At 36.1% G+C, this 27,902-nt stretch overlaps 1 protein-coding gene across 2 annotated transcripts in view, besides 1 other annotated feature; it reads left to right on the forward strand.

The window, feature by feature from the left end:
• DCAF13 (DDB1 and CUL4 associated factor 13) overlaps positions 1–27,699 on the forward strand; it is a 28,068-nt gene extending 369 nt beyond the window's left edge. The window contains exons 2-11 of one of the 2 annotated variants that reach the window (NM_015420.7): positions 4,510–4,709; positions 5,221–5,328; positions 10,302–10,391; positions 11,343–11,498; positions 14,858–14,935; positions 16,905–16,987; positions 19,872–20,036; positions 24,382–24,517; positions 25,701–25,864; positions 27,041–27,699. In NM_015420.7, coding sequence (NP_056235.5) covers positions 4,510–4,709; positions 5,221–5,328; positions 10,302–10,391; positions 11,343–11,498; positions 14,858–14,935; positions 16,905–16,987; positions 19,872–20,036; positions 24,382–24,517; positions 25,701–25,864; positions 27,041–27,128 — 1,268 coding nt within the window. In that variant the 3' untranslated portion in view covers positions 27,129–27,699. The remainder of the gene's footprint in view (positions 1–4,509; positions 4,710–5,220; positions 5,329–10,301; positions 10,392–11,342; positions 11,499–14,857; positions 14,936–16,904; positions 16,988–19,871; positions 20,037–24,381; positions 24,518–25,700; positions 25,865–27,040) is intronic. The other variant, NM_001416065.1, reaches the window with a different exon arrangement.
• Positions 2,854–3,745: an enhancer, noted in NCBI's record as "H3K4me1 hESC enhancer chr8:104430836-104431727 (GRCh37/hg19 assembly coordinates)". NCBI's record gives its function as "activates a minimal SCP1, AML or CMV promoter by ChIP-STARR-seq in primed H9 embryonic stem cells {active_cell/tissue: H9 hESC(primed)}" and the evidence as "EXISTENCE:reporter gene assay evidence [ECO:0000049][PMID:30033119]".
• Positions 27,700–27,902: the final 203 nt, after the last annotated feature.

Here is a 27,902-nt window from a genome sequence, read left to right on the forward strand (position 1 = left end):
CTATAGTGGAGAAAAATTCCAGCTGCTGCTCTGGGATTGTCTTCAGGTTCCTATTACTGAAAAGTGGACTTGAATGAGCCAAACTCGTGGGTTGAAGGGCTGAGAGTTAAACAGGCTTTTAAAACCTTCCTACTGCTCTTCTTGCCGCTTTACTACTTCACATTAGTTGTGGATGTTGGAAGAGACAAAGATGAATTTAAAAGCATCAGTTTTCTCTTACCATCCCTTAAGAAGTTTGATGAAAGAATGGTTAAATGAAATTAATTTATCCTTCCTGGTCTGTTCCCCCGTTAACATGCTAACCACTTATAAATTGTACTTTGTGATACCTAAATGACAAGGGACCAACCATGCGTAAGCAGATTGTTCTAAATAAAGAGAATAACAGGAGCAAAGGTCTTCAGGCAGGAATGAACCTAAGGCATAGAAAGAAGGGCTGTGTCATTAGTTTGAATGAGGAGTAAGCGAGATGAGATGAGGCGAAAACAGTATTTCACTATTTTGGTTGAGTAGGAGATATTATCAACATGTGTGTGAGCATTGCTAATAAGTCTCTGCTCAAAAGATGTTTACAGTTTGTCACAAGGCAGTAATGTTTCTAAAATATAAATTAGATTTGTCACTTGGATTTGGCATCGTTCCCAGTCCTTGAATCTCTGGTCCCACCTTCCTTGCCACTTTAGTCAGTCACTACGTTTCCCACAAGTGGTTTAGTATTCACCCTTGCAAATCTCAGTGCGTTTCAGTCATCTTTTTTAAGGCCTCCTGTGGCACACACCCTTACCCAGTTTAGCCGCTTTCTCTGGAAGACTTTCACCGAACAGTAATCTGTTCCTGCTTACCTCCTGCATGAGCCCCGCCCCCTTCAGCACCCGTCTTCTGTGATTCTATCACTTCTTCACAGTGTTTATCACATTGTCTCATGATTATTATTTTGGTTAATAGTCTTTCCCATCAGACTTAGCCTCCAAAAAGGGGAAGAATCATGTTCGTGTATGCACTGTTAAGACAGCACCTAGCACATAGTTGCTTTAATAAATGTCAGTTTCTCCATCTATAAAGATTCATTTTTGCCTACATGAAGAGATTTAGAAACAAAATGATCTATCTTGTTGGGGTTTTTAAACTTCTGTTGAAATTATTAAAATGCTAATTTTAGTTGTAGGAACAGCTGCTGACATCAGAGTAGATAGAAATTTTCTAGACTTCAAAAATAATCTTTGCAAAACTGATGGATGAGACTGAAAATTAAATATATTAAATAAACGTGGCCAATTATGGACATTATCATTTTGGGTATGCTTTCTTTGTGAAGTACAGGCATTCTGCACTTTGCACAGTACCATATTAACTGAACCAGTCCCACTCTTTAAGAGGTTTACAGTGATTGAAATCACATCTGTTAACCACGAAACTTTGCAAAGTGGGGAATTGATTCCAGTATGCAACCCGTCCCGTTAATACAGTACAGTGCGAAAGTGAGTACTGCTTGAATTTTTTTTATAATAGTAGCCATTAAAACCAAACATTGAATTAAGCTGAAATTAGAACCTTTAAATCTATCACAGTGTTGAATCAAGATTTTTCTTAAAAAAAAAGATCTTTGGCTGGGCGTGGTGGCTTATGCCTGTAATCCCAGCACTTTGGGAGGCCGAGACGGGCGGATCACGAGGTCAGGAGATTGAGACCATCCTGGCTAACACAGTGAAATCCCGTCTCTACTAAAAATACAAAAAAATTAGCCCAGCGTGGTGCTGGGTGCCTGTAGTCACAGCTACTCAGGAGGCTGAGGCGGGAGAATGGTGTGAACCCAGGAGGCAGAGCTTGCAGTGAGCCGAGATTGCGTCACTGCACTCCAGCCTGGGTGACAGAGGGAGACTCCGTCTCAAAAAAAAAAAAAAAAAAAGAACATCTTTAATTACATGCTCTCATTAACATACACATATGTTGAGAAGGGATCTGCTCAAAAACTCTGTTATTAATGGGGCACACAGAAAGTTTGAAGACTACTATATAGGGAGCCTTTGGAAGTTTTAAGCATGGGAGTGACATGTAAAAAGCTGTTTTAAGATGACATCTGATAGGCTGGGCGCAGTGGCTCACGCCTGTAATCCCAGCACTTTGGGAGGCCGAGGCGGGAAGATCACGAGGTCAGGAGATCGAGACTATCCTGGCTAACATGGTGAAACCCCATCTCTACTAAAAATACAAAAAAATAAATAAATTAGCCGGGCATGGTGGCGGGTGCCTGTAGTCCCAGCTACTCGGGAGGCTGAGGCAGGAGAATGGTGTGAACCCGGGAGGTGGAGCTTGCAGTGAGCCGAGATTGCGCCACTGCACTCCAGCCTGGGCAACAGAGCAAGACTCCGTCTCAAAAAAAAAAGAAAAAAAAAGACATCTGATAATAGTGTAAATTGCCGCCAAATCAAGTAGGGATGATATTAAAGTAGCCCAAGTATAAGATAATGAAGACCCAAACTGCCTGGGAATGCAGTGGCTCACATTCATAAACCCAACACTTTGGGCGGCAAAGGTGGGAGGATCTCTTGAGCCCAGGAGTTCGAGAGTAGCCTGGGCATCATAAGGAGACCCCCGTCTCTACAAAAAATTTAAAGATTAATGGGGCATGGTGGTGCATGCCTCAGGTCCAAGCTACTTGGGAGGCTGAGGTGAGAGGCTAAGGTGGGAGGATCACTTAAGCCCTGGAGGTTGAGGCTGCAGTAGGCTATAGTCATATCACTGCATTCCAGCTTGGGTGACAGAATGATACCGCATCTCAAAACAAAAACAAAAACAAAACACAAAAAACTAGAAATAGAGAGTTGAAAGATGAGTAAGTGTTGCAAAGAGATGATGAGTAGGACTTTGAGTTTTGGTAGTAGGGAATATGGAAGATGGAATACATAAGAATGACCTAGGCTAGAGCTTTGTTGAATGTTAGATATAACACCATTACCAGGGAGTCAGAAAGAAACAGCAGGATGAAGTCATGGGGTAAGAAGATGCATTTACTTTTTACTCACTGAGTTTTTTTAGACATACGAGCTTAAAATTACTTTCTAAGCATAATTATATATATATATATATATATATATATATATATATATATATATTTTTTTTTTTTTTTTTTTTTTTTTTTTTTTTTTTGAGATGAAGTCACACTCTGTCAGCCAGGCTGGAGTGCAGTGGCGCGATCTCGGCTCACTGCAACCTCCACCTCCCAGGTTCAAGTGATTCTTTTGCCTCAGCCTCCTGAGTAGCTGGGACTGCAGGCACATACCACCCCCACCGCTGGCTAACTTTTTGTATTTTTAGTAGATGGGATTTCACTGTGGTAGCCAGGATGGTCTCGATCTCCTGACCTCGTGATCCGTCCGTCCCGGCCCCCCAAAGTGCTGGGATTACAGGCGTGAGCCACCACGCCCGGCCCTAAGCGTGATTATTAACCAAGACAATGTGTTTAGCAGCGTATCAGGACAGTTAAAACATAGATTCTGGAGCCATACTGCCTTGGTTTGAATCCTGGCTCCACCGTGTCGTATTCGAGTTACTTAACCTCTTTATGCCTCAGTTTTCCCATCAATAAAGTGTGAGATAGTAATAGAACTTAACACATAGGATGCTGTGGAGATTAAACGGTTAAGGTTTTTGGAACAGCGCCTGGCACTTGAACTCTTATGTGAGTCTTTTTTAAGTAAGTAAACAAACATAGAAAGTGCTCAGTAAATGATAGCTATATAATATCATCATAATCACAACTTCGTGTGTCTATCAGCACAGTATTTAGCACCAGAGATTAATAATGTTCCCTGCCCTACAGGAAGCTTAGAGTTCTGTTGAGCAAACATCTTGCACATATTTTGTCCCAGAAACTGTGCTAGGCATAAGGAAGTACAAATGAAAAGTGTATTGGAAGCCCTGACAGTGAACACTTACAACCCAGTTGAAGAGGGTACTAGGACATATAAAAGGGAGGCCGGGCACGGTGGCTCATGCCTGTAATCCCAGCACTTTGGGAGGCTGAGGCGTGTGGATCACGAGGTCACGAGATCGAGACCAGCCTGACCAATATGGTGAAACCCCATCTCTACTAAAAATAGAAAAATTAGCTGGGCGTGGTGGCATGCGCCTGTAATCCCAGCTACTCGGGTGGCTGAGGCAGGAGAATTGCTTGAACCTGAGAAGCGGAGGTTGCAGTGAGCCGAGATTGCGCCACTGCACTCCAGCCTGGTGACGGAGCAAGACTCCGTCTCAAAAAAAAAAAAAAAAGGAAATGCTGCATGTATATATACCTAGGGTCTAATTGTTTTGCAAGATGTATGCATCCCATGATTTTCCAGTAATTTCAGAAAGATTTCTGAACAACAGGTCTTCTACTTTTGTATTCTTAGTGTTAGGCATAGAACAATGTCACTAACTAAATGCTTATTGAATAACAGAGTGATTAGCTGAGGAAGACTGCAGGAAATATTAAGTGTGAATTATTAAGAAGGATCATTCTTATTTCAGTTCCAAGAAACTATGATCCTGCTTTACATCCTTTTGAGGTCCCACGAGAATATATAAGAGCTTTAAATGCTACCAAACTGGAACGAGTATTTGCAAAACCATTCCTTGCTTCGCTGGATGGTCACCGTGATGGAGTCAATTGCTTGGCAAAGCATCCAGAGAAGCTGGCTACTGTCCTTTCTGGGGCGTGTGATGGAGAGGCAAGTGTCAATCTAGATGATATTTTCAACTAAAAGTAGTTATATTACAAATGTTTTCCCTTTAGTTTTTAGTTACTGTAGGTTTTACTTTATTGGATTTCAATTTACTTCTCAAGACTAAATTTCGTTAGGAATACTGTTTAGTATTTTCTTCTTTAAACCTAAGAAATTATAAATGCAGTAGTTTAAGGATCAATTTGACAGTAAATTAAATAATCATGTTTATAATTAAAGTATTTAAGTATGAGTTTTTTCACAGATGTTGTCAACACCTAATTTCCTACTATGGCAAGTGAAAAAGTTTTGTAACACTTTAGAATCAACAGAGTATTTGTCAGGTTGTATTTTTTGCTCATCAGTATACTTATCCATATGCATTGCATTGTTTTAATCCAAAGGATTTTGGTTTTAGCTGCCCAGTAGAGTGATTCGTAGCCTTGTCAGTGTTGAATTTATCCTGAACATTTTACATTTATAGTTCACTGAAATTTCCTGGTATGCCTTATCATAGGTTAGAATTTGGAATCTAACTCAGCGGAATTGTATCCGTACAATACAAGCACATGAAGGCTTTGTACGAGGAATATGTACTCGCTTTTGTGGGACTTCTTTTTTCACTGTAAGTATAATACCATTAAGTCATTAAATTTGATCAACATAGGTAAGAATAATCTAATTGAATACATTTTTTTTCAAGTTCATTTATTTGTTCCTAGGCCCTTTTGGAGTTTCACAATGCAAAATAGCTTATTAAACCTTGAAAATTACTAGTTTTCTTTATATAATTCAGCCTTCCCCATAACTTAACATGATTAAACTAATATTCAATTTACCACAAAAGTGGAATTAATGAGAGGTAAGTCTAGAAAGAGTTTGGCTTACTCTGGAGGATTTTTGATGCTAAGATGAGTAATTTGTACTTTTGTTAGTCAGATAATAAGGAATCATCGAAGTTTTGTGCCTGTGTGTGGCAAGATATCCGGAACGTAAAATTTACTCTCTGTTTTTAAATATACAGTTTGGTGGCATCCAGTACATTCACATCACTGTGCAACCATCACCACCATCTGTCTTCAGAACTTTTTCATCATCCCCAGCTGAAACTATAGTCATTAAACAATAACTCCTCTGTCCCCTCAGTCCCCAACCCCTGGTAACTACTATTTTACTTTTTGCCTCTGTGATTTTGACTATTCTGGGTACCTCATATAAATAGAAGCATATTTTAAAGAATTATACCATTTTGTGTATGTGGAATAAGGCTTTTGGGTCTGGCTTATTTTACTTAACATAATTGTCTTCAAGGTTTATCCATGTTGTAGTACATGTCAGAATTTCCTTTCTTTTTATGGCTAAATAACATTCCATTGTATGTGTCACATTTTGTTTATCCGTTCATTCATCAATGAGCATTTGATTTGTTTCCACCTTTTGGCTATTGTGAATAGTGTTGCCGTGACCATTGGTGTACAAATACCAATTCAAGTTCATTGAAAGTCTTTTTAAACAAGGGGAACGACAAAATCTGAGCTGTGCTTTGAGTTAAGTAATTTGACAGCAGTTAGTGATCAGTTTGAAGGCCATTTTAATAGTTTGGCAGGCAATAATAAGAGGCTACCTTATTATGGAGACTGAAAACTAGAAATCAGTGGTTGATACTTTGGAGGATTGACAGGTTTGACAACTGAGAGGTGCCTGGGAAGAGGTTGGTTCCTGTTGCTGAGGAGTACCAGCAAGTTTTGAAGGGTGGCAATGGGAAGGATATGATGTGACAAACTGGACTGCTAATGGGCTGTTCGAGTGAAGATGTCTGTCATACCTTTACAGATGCAGGTCTGGAGCTCAGGAGGGAGGTCAGAGCTGAACTTGACATCATCAATATAGAACTAATCATTGAAGCCATAGTATGGCATCATTGGGAGGAAATGAGGAGGAAAATATAGAAATACAAAGATGTCAAGGAAGTAGCCTTGGGGAATGCCCACCTCTGGGAAGTGGGAAAACTCTAGGAGTAGCCAGAGCTCAAAGAATCTGTGAATGAGCATAGTGTCCTAGGAGGAAGGAATAGTCAGTTTTGTGAACTACTACAAAGAATAATGAAAAATGAAGACTGAGGAAAACATTTTAGAAATGTAGAGATGTAAAAAATAGAAAATTAAAGATTGCATAATTCTAGTCTTTCACTTCTAACACTATTAGTTTGGTGTATGTCTTTTCAAGTGTTTTGACCTACCTATACAACAGTTTTTGTATACACATGCGCTAATCAGTCAAATAGATCTTCCTTATTCTTTATTTACTGGTGACTTTTTAAAAAACAGGTTGAGCTGAGTTATAAAATGTAGGTTGCAATCCAGGTTGGCTGGGTGCAGAAGCTAGATTGCAAGAGAATAATAAAGGGAAAAGATGACTTCTGGGAAACCTGATAGCTACAATTTGAAAGATTGTCATGTGAAAAAGAAAATAGACTAATTTGTTGCTCCATAGAGAGGCACTGGAAATAGGTGTTAGTGTTAAAAGATTCGGTTTTGGTGTAAAAAAAAAAAACTTATTTGCTGTCAAAAAGCAGAATAGGCTACCTTGCAAAGCATTCAGTTACTTTTCACTAGAGGGGTGCAGATAAGCTGCCTGACCCTGCAAGCCCAGTGTTGTGCAAGGAATTGATTGGCAAGTGGGAATGGATGGCACCTAAGGCTTCTTACACTTGGTTATTCTCTTGGATATATTGATTAATAGCTCAGCCAGAGGACTTAGTGTATTTTTTTTTAATGCTTAAAATGAATAAAGGCTCATTTGCAGCATTATTCACAATACCCAGGATATGGAATCAACCTAAAGTGTCCAGCAATGGATGAATGAATTTTAAAAAAAAAAGTACACACACACACGCACACAGGAATACTATTCAGCCTTCAGAAAGAAGGAAATCCTGTCACTTGCAGCATACATGAATGAACCTGGAGGACATGATGCTAAGTTAAATAAGACAGATACCACATGATCTCAGTTGTGTGGAATCTAAAAAAGCCAAACTCTTAGAAATGGAGTAAAATGGTCATTACTAGGGGCTTTGAGGGAGGGAGATTGGGGAGATGTTGGTCAAAAGAGACAAAATTTCAAATAGATGGGATGGATGTTGTACAACACTGTGATTATAGTTAATAACAACATGCTCTCTTGACAATTGCTATGAAAGTGAATTAAATGTTCTCACCACAAAATAATAAGTATGTGAGGTAACAGATATGTTAATTAGCTTGGTTTATCCATTCCACAGTGTCTACGTGTATCAAAACACAATGTTGTACATCATAAATATATATCTTTTATTTGTAAATTAAATAAAAAACATTTTAAGAAATGAATAAAGACTGAAAATGTTTCATATTCACCACTTATTTCCCCCCACTTTATTTTTTTAAAGAGACAGAGTCTTGCTACGTTGCCCAGGCCGATGTTGAACTCCTGGGCTCAAGCCTGTCTCAGCCTCCCAAAAAGTGTTGGGATTACAGGCATGAGTCACCATGCCCACCTTATTGTTTCTCGGTTTTTCAAAAAGATTTTTTTTTTTTTGAGATGAAGTCTCCCTCTGTCGCCCAGGTTGGAGTGCAGTGGCATGATCTCTGCTCACTGCAAGCTCTGCCTCCCGGGTTCACGCCATTCTCTTGCCTCAGTCTCCCCAGTAGCTGGGACTACAGGTGCCCACCACCACTCCCGGCTAATTTTTTTATTTATTTTTATTTTTAGTAGAGACAGGGTTTCACCGTGTTAGCCATGATGGTCTCGATCTCCTGACCTAGTGATCCACCCGCCTCAGCCTCTGAAAGTGCTGGGATTACAGGCGCGAGCCGCCATGCCCAACCAAAAAGATATTTTTGAGTAATGTGTGCTTTGTCAGAGATAAGACACATGTGAAGACTACTTGCTGGTACAACTTTAAGAATGTTTTTAAAAATTTTAGTACACAGTGTTGCAAAACATAAACTTTTATTACCTAAAACTTCACTAAGATATACCAGTTTGTAATACCAACAATTCCTTCTTCAGCATAACCAGCCTGGAGATGAGATGTTCTAGCCAGGCACATATTCTTGTTCGGCTACTCATTTCTATAAAATGAGAAAACCCTTCCCAGAATTGGTGGTCCGCTGAGGTTTGTACTCAGTAGACGGCAGAACAGCTTGGTCATTTACAAGCAAATTCAGTCTTGAGCTTGCAGACACTATCAGAAACTTGATGGAGGGATAGCGTCTTCAGGAACGGGGTGCTCAGGGACACAGTTTATCCTGTATTCTGTAAGTGCTAAAATGTCTCTTTGGGTCAAGCCAGATCAGTCAAGACCTGGTACCTAGATTACATCTTAGTCTCCCAGTAGAATCAGGTTTCTAGAATTGAGTTTTAGTATAGTGCCAGTGGCTCAGATTCATAGTTGTTAATAAGATGTAGCCCTATTAAATACTTTTTGTCTATAACAAGGATGTAGTTAAGGATTCTGTTCATCGACATCCTCAACAAAAGACATCGCTGTGTAATCTTAGTACCAAAACCTTTCCTGATCACTTATCTGTTTTCATCTCATGGGCACTGTAAACTGTTTTGCAAGAAGCGTTTTCCTTTTTGAATTTGCTGTAAGAAAAGAGCTACATTCATACTCTTCCCTTAGATAAAGATATCTTTGTTAATGATTTTATCAAAAAGTGGATATAGATTGCATCTAATATATAAATGTAAGATTTTAAGTTAAAACTAGCAGTTTTGTATGTATGCAGTTATACAGTACCACATTTATGATTTTGTTTTCAACCTCAAACTACATTATATGTTCTGTTTTGTAGTCTGTTTCACCTGATAGCTTAAACATGTCTGCCAAATACCCATGTCTAAATTACCATAGTTTGTTGCTTTGCCTTGATTTGGGCTAACGTGCCAACAGTTTTGCTCACTGTTGCTTTTTTACTATTTGTGCAGCTGTCAGCACAGTGAAAAGACAAACTATGTCTTTACTAACATTATGAAAATAGTTTTGACTGTGTGGACCCTGAAAAGTTCTCAGGGTCCTCCAGAGGCCCAAAGTTCACAGTTTGAAAACCACTGACTTAGTAGTTTCTGCAGTTCATGCAGAAAAGGACTTTATCTATTTCAATATTATAACAATGCCTTCTCTCCAGTATTTTCATGTTTTTCATTTTATTTTTTACATTTAAAATTACCTGGAATTTTATTTTCACATAAGGCATCAAATTGGCTCAATTTTTTTGAATGACTAACCAGATATTATAATACCATTTTTTATAATCCATTTTTTCTCCAAGTTGAAATGCCATGTTTATCACAATATGCATGACCTAACTTTGCCCCTGTTCTTGTTTTTCTTTTGCTCTACTCATTATATTTTTAGTTTTATGTACTTTATGTATTTGTCACAAATCTTTACTAAAACAAGGTGGGATATAAATGGATCAATAAGTGTAATACTGGAATGATATGGTATGTTACCTGTTTTAAACAAGATACTTATTTGATATGTGTTGGCAAGTTTTAATTTATAACTGTTGTTCCTTACCATCATCATAATAAAACAAATATTTCTAGGTTGGTGATGACAAAACTGTGAAGCAGTGGAAAATGGATGGGCCAGGCTATGGAGACGAGGAAGAGCCATTACATACAATATTAGGAAAGGTACAAAAGTAAATTGACTAATAGCTTGCCTATTAACATTCTTTTATTTAAAATTATTTTATAGTTATAATTTCCTAAGATGGGGAAGAAGATGCAGATAAGAAACGAAAGACTTTAGGCTGTAATTGTTGACCCATTTACGCAATATTTAATGCAGCTAAAGTCCTTTGATGCTAAAGAATTTTAACAGTTTTTTTTTTTTTTGGTATTCATTGTAGTAGAGTTTGATTTCTGTTTTTAGCCAGAGGATACAATGAAACATTTCCCATGGGAAGACCACGGAGAAAAAGATAGAAGTTCAGAAAATGCTTCAGCTTGTCTAGTTGATGTCATCATAGATCTTACACAAAACTCAGAATTTCTTAGTTGAAAGACTCCTTTAAGAAATGAAGAAATTTAATAGTATTATGCATCATGTATAAATCTTATTAATGTTTCTACCAAATTATTCTGCAAATCAGGTGATGGGTGGTTTAGTTTTAGCATAAGAATAATTTAGAACATTTGGTCTATCCATGTTTTATAATGTTTACATTTTTATATTAAGCAAACAATTCCAAAATTAGATTTAATCTTTAAATTAAATCTACCTTTTAAAAATCACTTTGTCGTTTCAATATTATGGTTAGTATATAATATTTAGGTTCTGCTTTAGGTTTCAAGAAGACTAAATGTTCTTAAAGGGATAGGGGAATGGGGTATGAGTATGAGGTAGAGATAATTTGTAGTTGGAAACACGTTAGTAATTTCTAAAACAAAATTGGTTTCATTCTTAAAATGTCTTGTCTCATTATGGTATTGTTTCCCCCTTTAAGTAAGGACTTCAAAGAAGTTTCTTTGTGAACAGGGCTTTTCTCTAAAAAGATAGTATAGATAAATATATTTAAAATATTATTCTGCAGATTTGAATTAGTAATGAAAAAAATCCTCTTAACCTTTTTGCTTTTAAAGACAGTGTATACTGGGATTGATCATCACTGGAAAGAAGCTGTTTTTGCCACATGTGGACAGCAAGTAGACATTTGGGATGAACAAAGAACTAATCCTATATGTTCAATGACCTGGGGATTTGACAGTATAAGTAGTGTTAAATTTAACCCAATTGAGGTAATGTTTTTTTTTAAGTATGTTTTACTTATTATGGCTTAATAATTTCAGTTCTGTTTAGAAAACTTTTGAATGTATGATAGAAACTTCTGAATTTTAATGGTGTTTTGGCATTTTGTCAGTTTTCCCGATTGTAAATGAGTTCTGATACCTTTGCTCAAATCCCAACATGTTTCCCAGCAGTTTAGTCCCAGATACTAGAGTTAAGCATTGTTAGAGGAGTGGTGTGTGCATTTGCCCATTGGGGTAAAATCCAAGTAAATATAGTCTTGTTTTAACTTTAGTTTTACTCATGCCTTCAACTTCATGTTCCATAGATTATGTCATTGTACATTTAGGAAAATGTTAATTTTTCTACCTGCCTTGGAGGTCAGAAGAAGGAGCATTGGACATCATTTTGTCTATTTGTAATTGGTAAGGTACCAATGCTTCATAAAAACATTTGTGATTATTGTTGAACTGCATGGTAATTAGTTATAGTTATATTTTTCTTTGCTCAGAAGTCTGAATTGTGATTCCCAGTTCCTCCAGGCCTAAGGGAAGAGTTGGAGATTGGCCACTACATGTCGTCTGTTTAGGTCTGAATTTAGGAATGGAGGCTGTCCTGAAGGCTAAGCTAGCCCTTGGACTCCAGATCTTTCTCTGAACTTTTTCTTAATGCATAACAATAGATGAACTGATTGTCCAGAAGACTCAGTAGGGATATGTTTTTCCTGTTGAAAGAAAAGGCAATCATAGCATATATAAGCCAATTTTAGCAGTTATTGCGAGGCTACCATTTTAGGTAGTATGAGAGAAAAATCCTAATATGCAAGTGTTATGCTCTTAAAGACCCAACCTGATAAAAGATAGGAAGTAAGGTTGAGTCAAAATAGTAAGGTATAAAAATAGTTTGTATGATATACTGGAAAATGAGATGCTGCAGTGCGATGTGAGCTTGGCCTTGAGGAATTACTGAGAAGTCAGAGGACACTCTTCCTGCAACTACCACATGCTCACACACACACTTTCTAGAGACGCTACAGGTCTAGAATAGGTTGGCAAACTAGTCTGTGAGCCACATGTGGCCCACTGCCTGTTTTTGTAAATAGAGCTCTGCTAGAAGACAGCCATGTTCTCTTGCGTACATATTGTCTGTAGCTGCTTTCGTGCTATGATGGCAGAGTTAAGTAATTGCCACAGAGACCATATGGCCCACAAAACCTAAAATACTTACTCTCTGGCCCTTTACAGAAAAAGTTTTCTGATTCCTGGTCTGGAGTGTCTGTCTCTATTATATCTTTCTCACTCCATCCTCCATCTTCCTTCCTTATGTTTCCCTTGGTTGTAGAAGAGAGAAGTGGCATGGAAAGGCAGCTACCTTTGCAGAGCAGGACCAAGTGTAAAAGTTGATAACATATGTGAACATTTTTTAAAAGTGCTATCCAAATTCAAGATGGTGACGGTATTACGTACTAAAAAAAAAACACAAAAAAACCTAAACAGACACTGGTTCTTACTATTTAGAGGAACAAAAAAATCTTTTGCTTCTCTGCTTTGGTGAACATCTGTGTCAGAAGAGCCGATCACCAATTCTAAAATCGTAATTATTAGGGATGACCTAGTGACCATGTTTTTCAAACTTGCCTGTATAGCAGCTGTATTTGTTCAGCTGTTTTTTTTTTTAATTGCTATTAACCTTATGAACTTAGTGGTAAAAGTAAATGGTGTGTGTGTCTCTTATCCTGTTTTAAACTTAATGGAAAGGGCATGTTGCTGTGAACAAATGGAGTGTATTTGTATTTGTCTCCTCTAATCATTAATAATTAATTTTCTCTTAAAATATTGAAGCCTAGAATTCTGGTAAAGCCAAAAGTTTATGCTGATCATTGGGACGTTTTACAGTGTGAAAGGTGGCATTTGGTCTAGGTAGATTGTTTTGCTTTGTTCAGATCAAAGTCTTTCTTTTTAGAAATGGAACCTGGTCAGACCCTGAGGCGACATAATGAGAAGCCAAGAAAGGTTGAGGGACCTCACTAGGGAAGTCTCAGAAAAGCAGCCATTAAGATAGCAGGCTTTCAGAAAGAACTGAGAGGAAATCATGATCATAACATTAGCTTTATGATGTGTTATTTGAATTGCGTACAGACAGTAGGAGGAGTTAGCTGGCCATGCAACTATTTAGTAAATAGCTCTTCTTGCTGCCCACATACTTGCAATAGGAAGTAATTGTAGGCAGAAGCCAATAGTTGTGAGTGTCAGGAACCATGAGTGAGGAGGAATGATGCTACAGAGAGAGGGTTTCAGGGATCCACTGGATGATAGAGGGCTTATTTTTACTTAATGCCAAGGGGTTATGTGAGTACCATGCACATTTATAATTGACTTACAAATAAAATAATTAGAAAAATCTTCAAACAGTTGGACAAAAGACAGGCCTAATTTATAGAGAGTTAACAACACGAAGAAACATTTACTAATAAAACAATAAATTTATATAGCTAGGAAATACTGTCATACAGATATTTTAAATGACACTTTTAAATGACACTACCCAGTGCTGCCCAGTTGCATTAAAATGGACATATCCCACATTGTAGTGTATACTGGTACAGCTCTTTGGAAAAATAATTAGCCCTAAATATCAAAAGCCATAAAATTGTTCATACCTTTTGATTCAGTAATGTCATTTGTGAAATTTTATCCTAAGGAAATAATTCAAAAGAAGAACTACGTGGGGGGGAAATGTTTATTGAAGTATTACTTATAATAGTAAAAAACAGGAAACAAGTCTTAAGTTGAAGAGTAGGTAAGTAAAATATGTTTTATTACAAATTAGAACACAGTAATATCTGTACATTAAAATACATGCATGGGGGCCAGGTGCGGTGGCTCATGCCTGTAATCCCAGCACTTTGGGAGGCTGAGGCAGGTGGCTCACCTGAGGTCAGGAGTTTGATACCAGCCTGGGCAACATGGTGAAACCCTGTCTCTTCTAAAAATACAAAATATTAGCCCGGTGTGGTGGCGCACCCCTGTAATCCCAGCTCCTCCACAGGCTGAGGCATGAGAATTGCTTGAACCTGGGAGGTAGAGGTTGCAGTGAGCCAAGATTGCACCACTGCACTCCAGCCTGGGTGACAGAGCAAGACTCTGTCTCTAAATAAATAAATAAATAAATAAAATACAAGCATGAGGATTTTACAGTGAAAATACTTGGTTTAAGTTGCTGAGATTATGGATGATTTATTGTACCCTCTTAAAATGGACTTTGTTTTTTAACATAAATATTAAGGGCAATTAAATCATTTGTTTACTGAATGGATGTGGTTTGCTGCCAGGTCTGGCTTTGAACTGGTGATTGTTATACTTGTTTTTAGACATTTCTCTTGGGAAGTTGTGCATCTGACAGGAATATAGTACTGTACGATATGAGGCAAGCTACTCCTTTGAAAAAGGTGAGTTTCAGTTTTGACTTTTGCTTTATACAGTTGGCATTATATATTTCTCTGTAAATAGAGTGACTAACAATATGGAGCAAATATTTTCTCAGAATTAAAAAAATCTTTTATACAGGTGTTCTTAGAACTCTACATGATGATAGTCATGTTCTTTCAGCTCCCTATTGCTTTTTAGAGACTCTTAAATTTCTGCTAGGTATTGTATCCTAGTCACCAACCTTGTGTCTTCCATGATGCCAGTACATTTTAGGCCTCTAATTAATACTTACTGAATTGAAAGTTCTTAAAGGTATTGCATCCTGTTACTTAACAGTGTAATAATATTCAAATAATATTCAATAAATTCAAGCCCCATGATTATCGTATGACATGTACACTATTTTATTCCAGAAGGTTTTAGAACTCATTCACGTAACCAGCTTTATTTGTTCAGTTACATGCTGATCAATACTAGTTTGACATTTAGGCAACCACTATCCTGTTCAAAGTAACAGATTTCCTAACAATTCTAAAGTAGTAATTTCAGGACTTACATATCAGAGCTAATAATACAACTTAAGCTAACTCTCAAGAGGGAGACAGATACTGTCTGTAAGTAAGGAAAGGAGTGCCATTGTAAGTAAAAGGGTATAAAGTTTATTTCAGGTACTAGAATTTTGAGTGACAGAAAGGGCTGGACATCATTGAGATGCCACAAGTCTGTTGTCGTAGTCCACATACAAAAGAAATGCTTTTAATACTTGCTTTTGTTATTCCTAAATCATTTTTATAACGTAACAACTAGATATTAGGAGAGTACATTCATTGAAGTTTGAAGTAGATAAATATGATAATCTTTCCAAAGTACCACTTATATGATTTCACTCATTCATGTGATTTAATGGGAAGATCCTATATGAACTTTGGTCTTAGACTTTTAAGCACGTTAACCTAAAATGTGTTTCTCCTGTAAGGTGGTGGTATTAATAACTATCTCGCAGCACTTCGCTGAGAATAAAACATGATACTTTAAGCATTTAGCAGAATGCTGACATGAGGTACTAGTTTAATGAATAGTCATTTCTGCCCCCTCCCACCTACCTAACACTCATTCTGTTTTTTTTTTAATTTAGTTTATTTTTCATTGTTATTGCCTCCTGCTTTGCACATTCTCAGTTTTTAATGGAGCTCCATTAATTTTAGGTTGAAGAAAATGTAGCCTGGCTTTCAAGGTGCTCTGAAATCTGGTTCTAATTTGCAACTCATTTATTTCTTTTAGTCAGTTAGGTAACATTGAATTGGAGTTTGTCACATGCAGGTCACTTTGATAGATGTAGGGATTGTTAGACACTGCTACTTTCTGTTGCTTCTTTGCTCCATCTACTAGTCTATCAATGTTTCTTTTATCCTTTCTCTCATAAATGTAGTAGTTCTTAGTCAGGGATTGTAGTCCCCTACCAGGTACAGTTCTGGGAATGCAAGAGGGACATGTAGTGGGAGGTCCCTGAGTGGCAAAACATCCTACAGTGGATAGTCATACACAACAAAAGATAATCCTGCTCAAAATGCCAACAGTGTTCCCATTGAGAAACACTGAATTACTGATCCTTCACAGGTCAGTTCAAATCATACTTGTCTTTAGAAACAGTTCTTTATGTTAACCCTAAGCTCACCATTAATTTTGCCCCTAATTTGATACTTAGTCATTTGTTACTTTATTGTTTATATTTTAACTTTTATTATGTGTCACATTTTTCTGACTAAACTGTAAGTTGTTTGAGATTAGGAGACTGGGAGTTAAGCATTTCTATTTTTATATTTACTATTCTGCCTGTGTATTTAAGAAGCAATTACTGATTGATTTCTCTTCCCATTGCACTGAGCTGAGTACTTTACACATAATAGGTGTTTATGAAATATTTGCTTAAATCAGTGGGGAAAAGAAAAGGAAAGGAAGTGGGAAATTCATCCATTCTTCCTTTCTCAGGTTATCTTAGATATGAGAACAAATACAATCTGTTGGAACCCTATGGAAGCTTTCATTTTTACAGCAGCAAATGAAGATTATAAGTAAGTTTCCCTCTTTTAAAAACTTGTGTATTTCTATCATGAATGGCTTAATTGTATAAGTCGTACTAATAAAATATATACCACTAGGTAGGTATACCTATAAAGTTTGAAAACTGTCATCTGTTTAGCTTTAAAAAGTTTTCCAAATTGGAGAAGAACTTCTTAGAAAAGTATTTATTTCGTCAGTATTTAGAATGATGTAGACCAGGGACAGTAAACAACTCGTGGACCAAATCCTTTCTGTTGCCTGTTTTTTATAAAGTTTTATTGGAATATGGCCACACCCACTTACTTATTTAGATATTGGATATGGCTGCTTTTGTGCTATAATGCCTGAGTTGAATAGTTGCAGCGGAGACCTTATGGCCCACTTGCCTGAAAATGTTTAACATTTGGCCCTTTACAGAAGAAGTTGGCTGATGTTTGATGTAGGTCTTATAAATAATGACTGAACCATACATGTTTTAATGGAAATGAAAATATCTGCCTGCAATGTTTGTATTGCGGTGAGTATCAGGTAGCTGATGCTCATGTGGTCATGTTATCAGCTATCACTGTTCAGTCAGATGGAAGAAAAATTATAGTTATCTTTTCAGTATCCATATGAGGTAGGTGGGACATGCATGTTATCCCCTTTTTAAGATATTAAAGCGGGGAGATTAGTCTCCCAGGGAGGAAAGAGTATCTTATCTTTTTTTTTCCCAAAGCATTTATTATAGCGCTATGCCTTTGATAGATTCTTAATACATGTTTTTTTTAAGAAGGCAGAAGTTTGTTGGTGGATTGAACTTTAGATCTTTGTATTGTTTTATGTTCCACTATGTAGATTTGGAAGCAAAAAAGTAGTAGTGTTAGCTCATAAAAGGATTTATTATATGATGTTTTAGTGGTACCAACTAAAAGCATCTTTTATGACTTTCTGCTAAAAAGAGGTTTAGTCCAGGAGTTTGAGGTTACAGTGAGTTGTAATTGGGCCACTGCACTCCAGCCTGGCCAACAGAACAAGACCCTGGTGTCTTAAAAAAATAAAAGAAGCTCAGTTAGACTCTCATTAACTAGCAATACCAAACCACAGTAATTGAAGCTTTTTTTTTTAACCTTTATTGATGTTTTGAAATTAAGTGGCATTGTTCCAGTTAAAGGCAATAAAAGACAAGAGTAATACAGCATTATTGTGACCAACCTCATTAAGATTTCTAAAGAATGTTCTAATAAGCTATTTTAGCAAGGTACCGTTTTTCAGAGTGTCCTCGGAATTTCTCATTCCTTGCCTTGAAAAGAATTGCATATGCCACCTGAAACAAAGAGCATATCCCTTATAATAAGTGACTGTTGGAGTATCATAATTGCTCTTTGAAAATGATCTTGCTTTTGTATCCCTTTTCTATATTTGTAAGTATTTTTTTCTTTTATTGCCCTTTAGATATTCTAGTCATTCTGAATTAGAAACCTAAGTTCAAGTCTAGGCCGACCAGTAATTACTGTATAAACTTGGGCAAGTCATTTAAACTAACTCTATATCATAGTTTCAGCATCTGTAAGGTGAGGGTTAGAATAGATGATCCCTAATGAATCCTATAATGTGGAACTTTGTTTATTTAAAGGTTTTCCATGTACACAAATTGATATGCTTAGAATTGGAATTCTTATCATTTTTCCCATGTAGAAATAAAGCATCTTACTAAAAAGCAGTTTGCTGGAACCAAGCAAACCTAGCTGAAAACCACTGTTCTTAGGCAGGAACTGTAAAGCAGTTGTCAATGTCTTACTACTAGTAATGTTAACCTTGATCATTTGGTTAGGGTGGTGTCTGCCAGGTTTCTCCACTAAAGAGTTACTTTTTTTTCCTTTTGTAATTATTATATATCTTTGGGGAGATACTTTGAAACTATGTAGATATCCTCTTCTCAGACTTCTACTCACTAATCTTAGCATCTTCAAGTATTTTTATATTAGGAACTTGGTCACAATATTGCTGTATTACTTTTGTCCATTGTTCATGTTGGTTCATTTGAAGCACTATTCTTTTAGCCATTAGATTAAGAATTTTTGAATCTTGAAACTCATGAAGTCATTGTTTTTACCAATTGTGCATAAAGTATAGTTTCTCATTTTGATTCACCCTTTGAAAGGCCATGTTCACTCTTACATATCACCAGTAGGAGTATAAATTAGTGCAACTTTGTTGGCAGTGATTTGGCAACTCAAATCAAGCCTAAAAATGCTCATGCCTTTAAGCTTAACAATGCTACTTGTAGGAATCTGTCCAGATTTAATTGAACCTGTCCCATTCAGTTAAAGATTGAATGTTAAAAATCCAAACGTTGGGAATTTAATAAGCATTATATATAATAAAATGTTGGAAACTATTAAAATATAGGGAAATAAATTATTTGAACTTATATATACAGCCATTAAAATATTTTCAAAGATTGTTTAATAACATGGGTAATGCTCATTAATATGCTACGTGAAATATCAGAATATAAAGCTTTACATAACATTTCAATTTTATTAAAAGTATGTATTTAAATAGTATGGTGAAAAAGGTTTTTTAAAAAATTATGCTGTACTAAATAACTGGCCTCTGGGTAGTAGAATTCAAGGTAATTTTTGTACTCTACTTTTTTTGAAATTTCCACATTTTCTACAATGAGATTTATAGGGTGGAAAATGTGTTGGTATATATATAAGTGGAGTCTTAAGGAATCATAAAAACTGTTGAAATTTTTCCTTATCCCTCACCTGCTTGTGTACAGCATTGAGCTTTTTGTTTAGATGTGCATTGTTTTGCAAATGGTTCTTGTTTTCAGTGGTATCTTTTAGTACTGCATATGGCATCTTTCTAGAAATATGTGTCAAATATTTAAAAATTCTTTTACAGCTTATATACTTTTGATATGCGTGCACTGGACACTCCTGTAATGGTCCATATGGATCATGTATCTGCAGTGCTTGATGTGGATTACTCTCCCACTGGGAAGGAGTTTGTGTCTGCTAGTTTCGATAAATCTATTCGAATCTTTCCTGTAGACAAAAGTCGAAGCAGGTATGTGCCTACCAGTAAGCCATTTATATTCATATGTCACTTAACAATGGGGATGCATTCTGAGAAATGAGTCATTGGGCGATTTCATCATTGTGTGAACATCATCAGAGTGCACTTAAACAAAACTAGATGGTATAACGTGTTGCACACCTAGGCTGTGTGGTCATATGATATGGCCTGTTGCTTCTAGACTACGAATCTGTTCAGCATGTTACTGTGCTGAATACTGTGGGCAATTGTAACACAGTGGTATTTGTTTATGTAAACATATATAAACACAGGAAAAGTACAGTAAAAATCCAGTATTATCTTAATGGACCACTGTCGTATATGCAGTCTCTCATTGACCAAAATGTCATATGACTATTTTTGTTTCATTTTTCTTTGTCCTGATTATTATTTATCTTTTCTGAGAGGGTACCTGAGTTTAATAAAGTTTTTTGCTCCAATACAGTTTAAGAAAAATTAGTAATAATACTTTACATTTGTTATTTTTTACTTAGTCAAATCCAACTCTGTATGCCAAACCAAAAATTAAAAAAGAAATAAAAGTAAGTTTAAATTGTCAAGACCGTTCTCCCTCTATTTCACTTTAGTAGGTATATGGCTTGGTTGATGAGAGGTTGAGAGGTGGGAGATTTGAATACTCAGCTGTCCCATAGTCTCGTGTGTGTCTCATTTTGTAAGCACATAGAGTGTGATTCTAATATTTAAGATTTTTATTGTGTTTTGTATAGTTTGGCCCTTTACTACATATTATATGTTATTAAATACAGTATCTATTTATACATCTATTATATCTTATTTTTGTAAAGAGGTAGTTTACAGAAAGTGATGGCATTTTAAGGAGTTTGCAAGGGGAATTTTGTTCTCGAGTTTTCACTTTACAGACTGACTTTAAAAACTAAGTCCTGTATAGATACAGCCCCCTGTATAGTGAATTATGGTTTACAAAGAGCTGTTATACACATTCCCATTGTTCCTTAGTAATGCTTTAGATGTGTTCCTGGAAGCATCCATAAAATAAATCCAAATAAATGGAAATAATTTTTCTCAAAAAATTATGATAATTGGATGATCATGGTCATAGTCAATCTGCTTATCTAACTCTTTGCTCTTTTACTTGTGATATTTAAGTCTTTTTCCACTGTAATTTGAGGAAGCCATATGGATTTCTACACCATGTATCGTCATTGTCAGCAGATAATTATCTTCATCACTGTTTATCTGATTATGAAGGTGCTTCAGTTAGAAGCATACTGACAGGAGTGTTCTGATGACTTTGATCTTCATTTCATCATTTCTGTTGTAGAGCTTCTGCTGTGTGTTCCTATGTGACTATTGCTTCCTTTGTTGCTGCCTTGATATTCTCCAAATTGTCATGAGTGTTTTTTTGGCATTATTCACTTAGGCCCAAGGCAAGACTAATAGCTTCCATATTTCTCTCACCTCTGGAAAATGTTGAGAATCAAGAGAATATGGTCCTCCATCATTTCTTGGCACCACAACTTCCAAAGGTAGTAGGATAGTATTTTTCCAACATGGTACATAAGTAGACAAAAGAATGAAACGAGAACAAAGAAAAAAACAGGACTGTGTAGTTACCTATGATCCCAAGGGGCCAGCAGCTGAGTTCAGGCTGAATTATTCCAAAGCTAGTGTGGACAGCTAAATGTAGGTCTAGCTAGAAAACTCACATTATTCCAAAATTGTATAAAAGGGTTCTTATATTTCATTTCTAAGAAATTGTCTCCTGATGTCATTTGGAGGTTTTGTAATCACAGTCTTAATATGTGTTAACGTCCTGTTGTGTTTAGATATAAATGGTGTTCCCTCTGACCTTTGCCTTTATCTGCTTGAAAGCTAGTTCTAATTTGTTTCTGTGGTTTGTTTCCTATCATTATAAACATCAAATAACTCATGCTTGGGTGAATAATCTGTATTTAAAAAATATTTTCCTTTAAAAGACCTTAAAATGGCTAAAGCATATTATTTTTAAAATAAATTTTGAGTAAATTTTTTAAAACTACAGTTAAGTCAGTATTTGAAAGTAGGCTTCTGTTGGAAGTTCATTCAGTATTTACTGAGCAAACAAGTAAATTAATAGTGTTCACATGGAAAAATTAGTGTGACTGTGTATATAAAGAATTTAAGCCTTTAAAAATGTATTTATCTCCTAATAGTAGAACTTTTGGTGAGCTTAATAAACTTAGCATATATGCAGACATAAACATATCTAGAAGTTAAGAACTCAGCATAGTTTACCATTGGGGAGGATTCTCAGTTACTTAAGTGACTAACCGTTGGATCTGACTGGTCTACTGCATGAACAGATTATGTTTAATGGTTACGGAAACCTGATTGAATTTCCCTACTTCAAATGCATTATACTGCTTTGGAAAAAAGGGCTTCTTAGGTATGTGGAGATTATAAGAAATGAGTCTTCAAAAGCAGAGCACTGAGCGGGAGAAGAAAAAGCAGTCTATCTCATCTAGTTTTCATTTTAATAGGACGTTCTTTTTAATCATCCCCTCTCTTTTAAAAATGAATTTCTAATGGTTTATCAAAGTGCTTAAAACATACCTATCAGAAACAGTGTAAAAGACCAGTTTTGTGAGTATAGTCGAGAGATTTTTTTTTTTTTTTTTGAGACAGAGTCTGGCTCTGTCAGCCAGGCTAGAGTGCAGTGATGCCACACGGCTCACTACAGCCCCTGTCTTCTGGGCTCTAGTGATCCTCCTACCTCAGACTCCTGAGCAGCACCACACCTAGCTAATTTTTAAAATTTATCTTTAGTAGCTATGGGGTCTCCCTGTGTTACTCAGGCTGGTCTCAAACTCCTGGGCTCAAGTAATCCTCTCACCAAAGTACTGGGATTATAGGCATGAGCCACTGCACCTTGCCTACTTTAGAGATATTTTTTATAGATATGAATATTTGATTTAGTCATTCTGTTTGAGTTTTATTTTACTGTGCATAGTTTATTGAGCCTGTTTCCTTCCTCTTTATATACTCTGCATTTTGAATAATTTAATCCAGATGCAGAAAATTTATTTCTCCAGAAGTTTCATCTTACTTTTTCTGACCTTGTATTTTACTTGCTTTTTAATGCCTTTCTTAACACTTACTAATATAGTATCACCTGTGAATTCTTCTAGCATATTTCACAGCCTTTCCAAATAGGTATGATATTTGACATCTCCATTTATTAAATGATTCTTTTTTTTCTTTTTTTGAGATGGAGTCTTGCTCTGTTGCCCAGGCTGGAGTGCAGTAGCACGATCTCGGCTCACTGCAAGCTCCGCCTCCTGGGTTCACGCCATTCTGCCTCAGCCTCCCAAGTAGCTGGGACTACAGGCGCCTGCCACCATGCCTGGCTAATTTTTTGCATTTTTAGTAGAGATGGGGTTTCACCTGGTCTCGATCTCCTGACCTCGTGATCCACCTACTGCAGCCTCCCAAAGTGCTGGGATTACAGGTGTGAGCCACCGCACCTGGCTCTATTAAATTATTCTTACCTCAACTTATCAGACACTTCTGTAGTCCTCCCTTCCTTTTCACACATGTAAATCATCAACTCACTTTAATTAAGCTTTTTTTTTTTTTTTTTTTTTTTGAGGCAGAGTCTCACTCTGTCACCCACGCTGGAGTACAGTGGCACAATCTTGGCTCACTACAATCTCTGCCTCCCAGGTTCAAGTGATTCTCCTGCCTCAGCCTCCCTAGTAACTGGGATTACAGGTGTGTGCCACCACGCCCAACTAACTTTTGTAATTTTAGTAGAGACAAGGTTTCACCATGTTGGGCAGGCTGGTCTAATTAATTAAGCTTTTTAAACAATTTAACCAAAACAAAATTCTGGCATTAGATTCAGCATATCAGGAGGTACTCTTTGAAGACCATTGCATTTCTTTCTTTTTCAGTAAAATGAAGGGGAAAAAAAGTGTGTTGACCTGAATTGATTTGATATGGGGAAGAGGCCTTTTAAGATCAAGTCCTTTCTTTTTGTTACAAAGTTACCTTGGTTGAACATCATATTTTATTTGCATTTTATGCTTTTAGTTATTCTGTGAACTTTTCTGTACATCTGGTTTTGCTTAGTTTGTTCATATTTATTTCTCTTACTAGATAGTAAGTTCTCTGAGAGCAGAAATTTGTTTACTACCCCAGCACTTAACACGGAACCTTATTAGTTGGGTTCAATAAAAATACATTGACAAGAATTTGAGTTTTTATTTTATACTCCTATAGGACTCAGAAATAGTATCCTGATACTTAATAGGCAGTGGTTACTCAAAATCTGTACCAAAATCCAAAGGGTTTTAACTTAATTCGTTTTCTATAGGGAGGTATATCATACAAAGAGAATGCAACATGTTATCTGTGTAAAATGGACTTCTGACAGCAAGTATATTATGTGTGGATCTGATGAAATGAACATTCGCCTGTGGAAAGCTAATGCTTCTGAAAAATTGGGTGTGGTAAGAGAATTCATTTTCTTTCATTGTCATAAAGCTGATTTCTAATTTTATTAGATATTACATTATGAAAATTTACTTTTAGGTATTTTTGGGTATTTTGATTAAATTGACATAGCTGTGATAAAAAAAGCAATAAATGGACAAGGTTGTATTGATAATTATTTGCTTCATTCTGATCTATTATTGTAGACACTGTACATTCAAATTGACATTTAAGACCTTCAGAATGCCTTTGTTAATTCAGATGTTTGATAATATTGAGTCTTACTGGTTTTTTGTGTTTTCCTTGAGGTAGGGACAGAAGATGCAGGAACTAGAGGCTCAGAACTTAGAGCTCGTATCTCTTGTTAGAGAAATAGTCATCCAGCAACTCAAAGGCTGCAAGTCCCTGGGAGATCTTGTAATATCAAAGACACAATGGAACATTTAATAAATACAGAAAGCTTCATACTTTAAAAAAGATTCCATGAAAAAATAGCAGGTGTTATCATTGGCTGGTTACCTCCAGGATAGGGGATTATGGTTGATTTTGTTTTGTTCTTGATGTTTTTCTAAATGTCCCATATTTTCTATAAGAAACAGAGTGTTTATATTAGAAATAAATATTAAGTTTAAGAAGGAAAGGGTAAGTGTGAATTATTTTCTACTTAGTCCTGATAGGAAAATCAAAGGCAATTCTGTTTTAGGTTTAATGATTGATAAGTATTGCATTGTGCCTAGGTCCATCATTAAATGTTCCTCTAAATCGTATCATCCTTAACATTCGTTAAACAAAGGGTAGTTCTTATGGAATTGGATACTTATTTTTTCTTTGCTGTTTCACTATGTTTAACTCACCTCTTTACCCACCCCCAAAATTTGAGTGAGTGATTTAGGTGCTTTTCTATGTTATTGATGCCTAGGGAAGGTCCAACTCAGTGATCCACGTGGCCCTACTCCTTCAGCACTGCTGCTTTCTACTGGGTGGCATCTATCTACATGGCGAGTGTGTTGCCTAAAAGGAAATTCAGTGCTTGCAGAGCTAGTGTTACTAATATAACCTTGTAAAGTGCAGAATTACATTGGCAATTTTGGTTGCATATCATAAAAGATTAGGTTAGGGGGAAAAGGGTGCTTTCTAGCTTTTTTATACTGAAGCAAAACAACACACTATTCATTAAGATACCAAAATGTGTATTTTCAGCTTACATCACGAGAAAAAGCAGCCAAGGATTATAACCAGAAATTGAAGGAGAAATTTCAGCATTATCCTCATATAAAACGTATAGCTCGTCATCGACATCTACCAAAATCTATCTATAGCCAGATTCAGGAACAGCGCATCATGAAAGAAGCTCGTCGACGAAAGTATGTTTTGAGGCATTTGACTCTATTACCCTTTTCTGACTTCTGCTCTCATCTCACCAAAAACAAAGTTAACTGCCATTCAAGGGAGTAGTTTATGTGCTATTATTTAATAGTATGTTAGTGATGTGTTTGAAGACTTCTACAGAAGGCCTTTTCTTTTTTCTTTTTTTTTTTTTTGAGACGGAGTCTCGCTCTGGAGTGCAGTGGCACAATCTTGGTTCACTGCAAGCTCCGCCTCCCGGGTTCATGCCATTCTCCTGTCTCAGCCTCCTGAGTAGCTAGGACTACAGGCACGCGCCACCATGCGCGGCTAATTTTTTGTATTTTTAGTAGAGACAGGGTTTCACCATGTTAGCCAAGATGGTCTCAATCTCCTGACCTCGTGATCGCCTGCCTCGGCCTCCCAAAGTGCTGGGATTACAGGTGTGAGCCACCATGCCCCGCCCAGAAGGCCATTTCTTTTTCTTTTTCCCAAAAAAGGGAAGCAGTGACTATCTGAGAATGGGAGAACTTCCATTACCTGTTTTTGAGAATATGTTTAAAGGACAAACGATGAAAATGAGTTACCAAAATAAGAAAACACTTGCTCATATTAAAAAATTATTGTAAAAAATGTTTTAAAAAATAATTTCTGATGTAGCTGGAATTAAGAGATTTTGTGTATTTTCCAAGTTAAAGAATTAATCTATAGTAGAGCTCTTTTCTTAAGTAAAAAGTGTTCTGATATACTTTATTATAACATGACATCTATCATTTTGGATATAGAGCAGAGCTACTACCACCACCACCATTTCCCGTGAAATATTCTTCTCTTTGAAATACTTGAAGTCATGCATGAAATTCTAAGAGCTCTTTATTTTTCAATTAGAATATACAAATGGCTCTTTTTTTCTGTCTTTGGGTAGATGTTGCAGTAGAATCACTTTTAGAAATTTTATTAACTGTGGAAGGTTTTTAAACTTAGTAAAGGACCCTATTAGGTAAATATGATAAGAAGCAATTAAATAAGTAAAGTTGATTTCTTGGTACTAGCTTCCTTTTACCTATTGTCATCGTGAAAATATTTTTTTAAATAGGTGTTTTTCTAGTGAAAGAAAATGCTTTGATTTTTCTGAGAAAGTTTTCTTTAAGATGAGTTCCCATAACTTGCTTATATTTTGTATATTTTATTTCTAGGGAAGTGAATCGTATTAAACACAGCAAGCCTGGATCTGTGCCACTTGTGTCAGAGAAGAAGAAACACGTAGTGGCAGTTGTAAAATAATTGGTATTCCTAACAATCCTGATGTATAATTATTTGTTACTTTTGATTTGAGAACTCTACAAATAAAAGTGCTGGGACTAGATTAATTGCAAACATTTTAGTTATATGTGTAGAGCTTTATTGTTACTCCTTTTAGCTACCCTGAAAAATGATCCTTAAAGGTGGCCTAGTTGGTAAGACTGTTTTATCCTTAATCTGCATTCTTCTTTCATTGTAGAATACAGTATTTGCAACTCATTTTTTCTTGTTTTTATTACAGATATACTTACTTTCTCTTTGATCTATTATTGTAGACACTATACATTCAAATTGACATTTAAGACCAAACATCTCTTATGTTATCTTTAATATTACTTTGAATAATGATTGCAATGATGTTTCTTCCTGTGATTCCACATAACATTTAGAATAATGATGTCAATTTTTTACAACTGAATTTATTTCTAGTGCTTTACTTATATTTGGCTTTTTGACTCTTTTAAAACAATCAGCCTGCATTTATATAACTTTTATAAATAATAATATAATTTGGGTCAAGTTAAGATATTAAAAGTTCCTTTCAGCATTGAAACTTTGGCCTATTTTTGGTAAATAATTTTCAATCTCACTAAATCCTAAATAGCTCTGTGTAACATAGGTTTTTCTTTTTTTAATCATCAACTTAATAAACTTTATTATAAATATGTATAAATCCAAATTTTAGGAGATGTTAAGTAAAGAAGAGATTTTAAAATCCAAAGAAAAGAATGTGTTAAGAATACAGTCATCACTCTG

This window comes from Homo sapiens, chromosome 8 (genome assembly GCF_000001405.40).
Source record: "Homo sapiens chromosome 8, GRCh38.p14 Primary Assembly".
In the NCBI taxonomy this organism is placed as follows: Eukaryota; Metazoa; Chordata; class Mammalia; order Primates; family Hominidae; genus Homo; species Homo sapiens.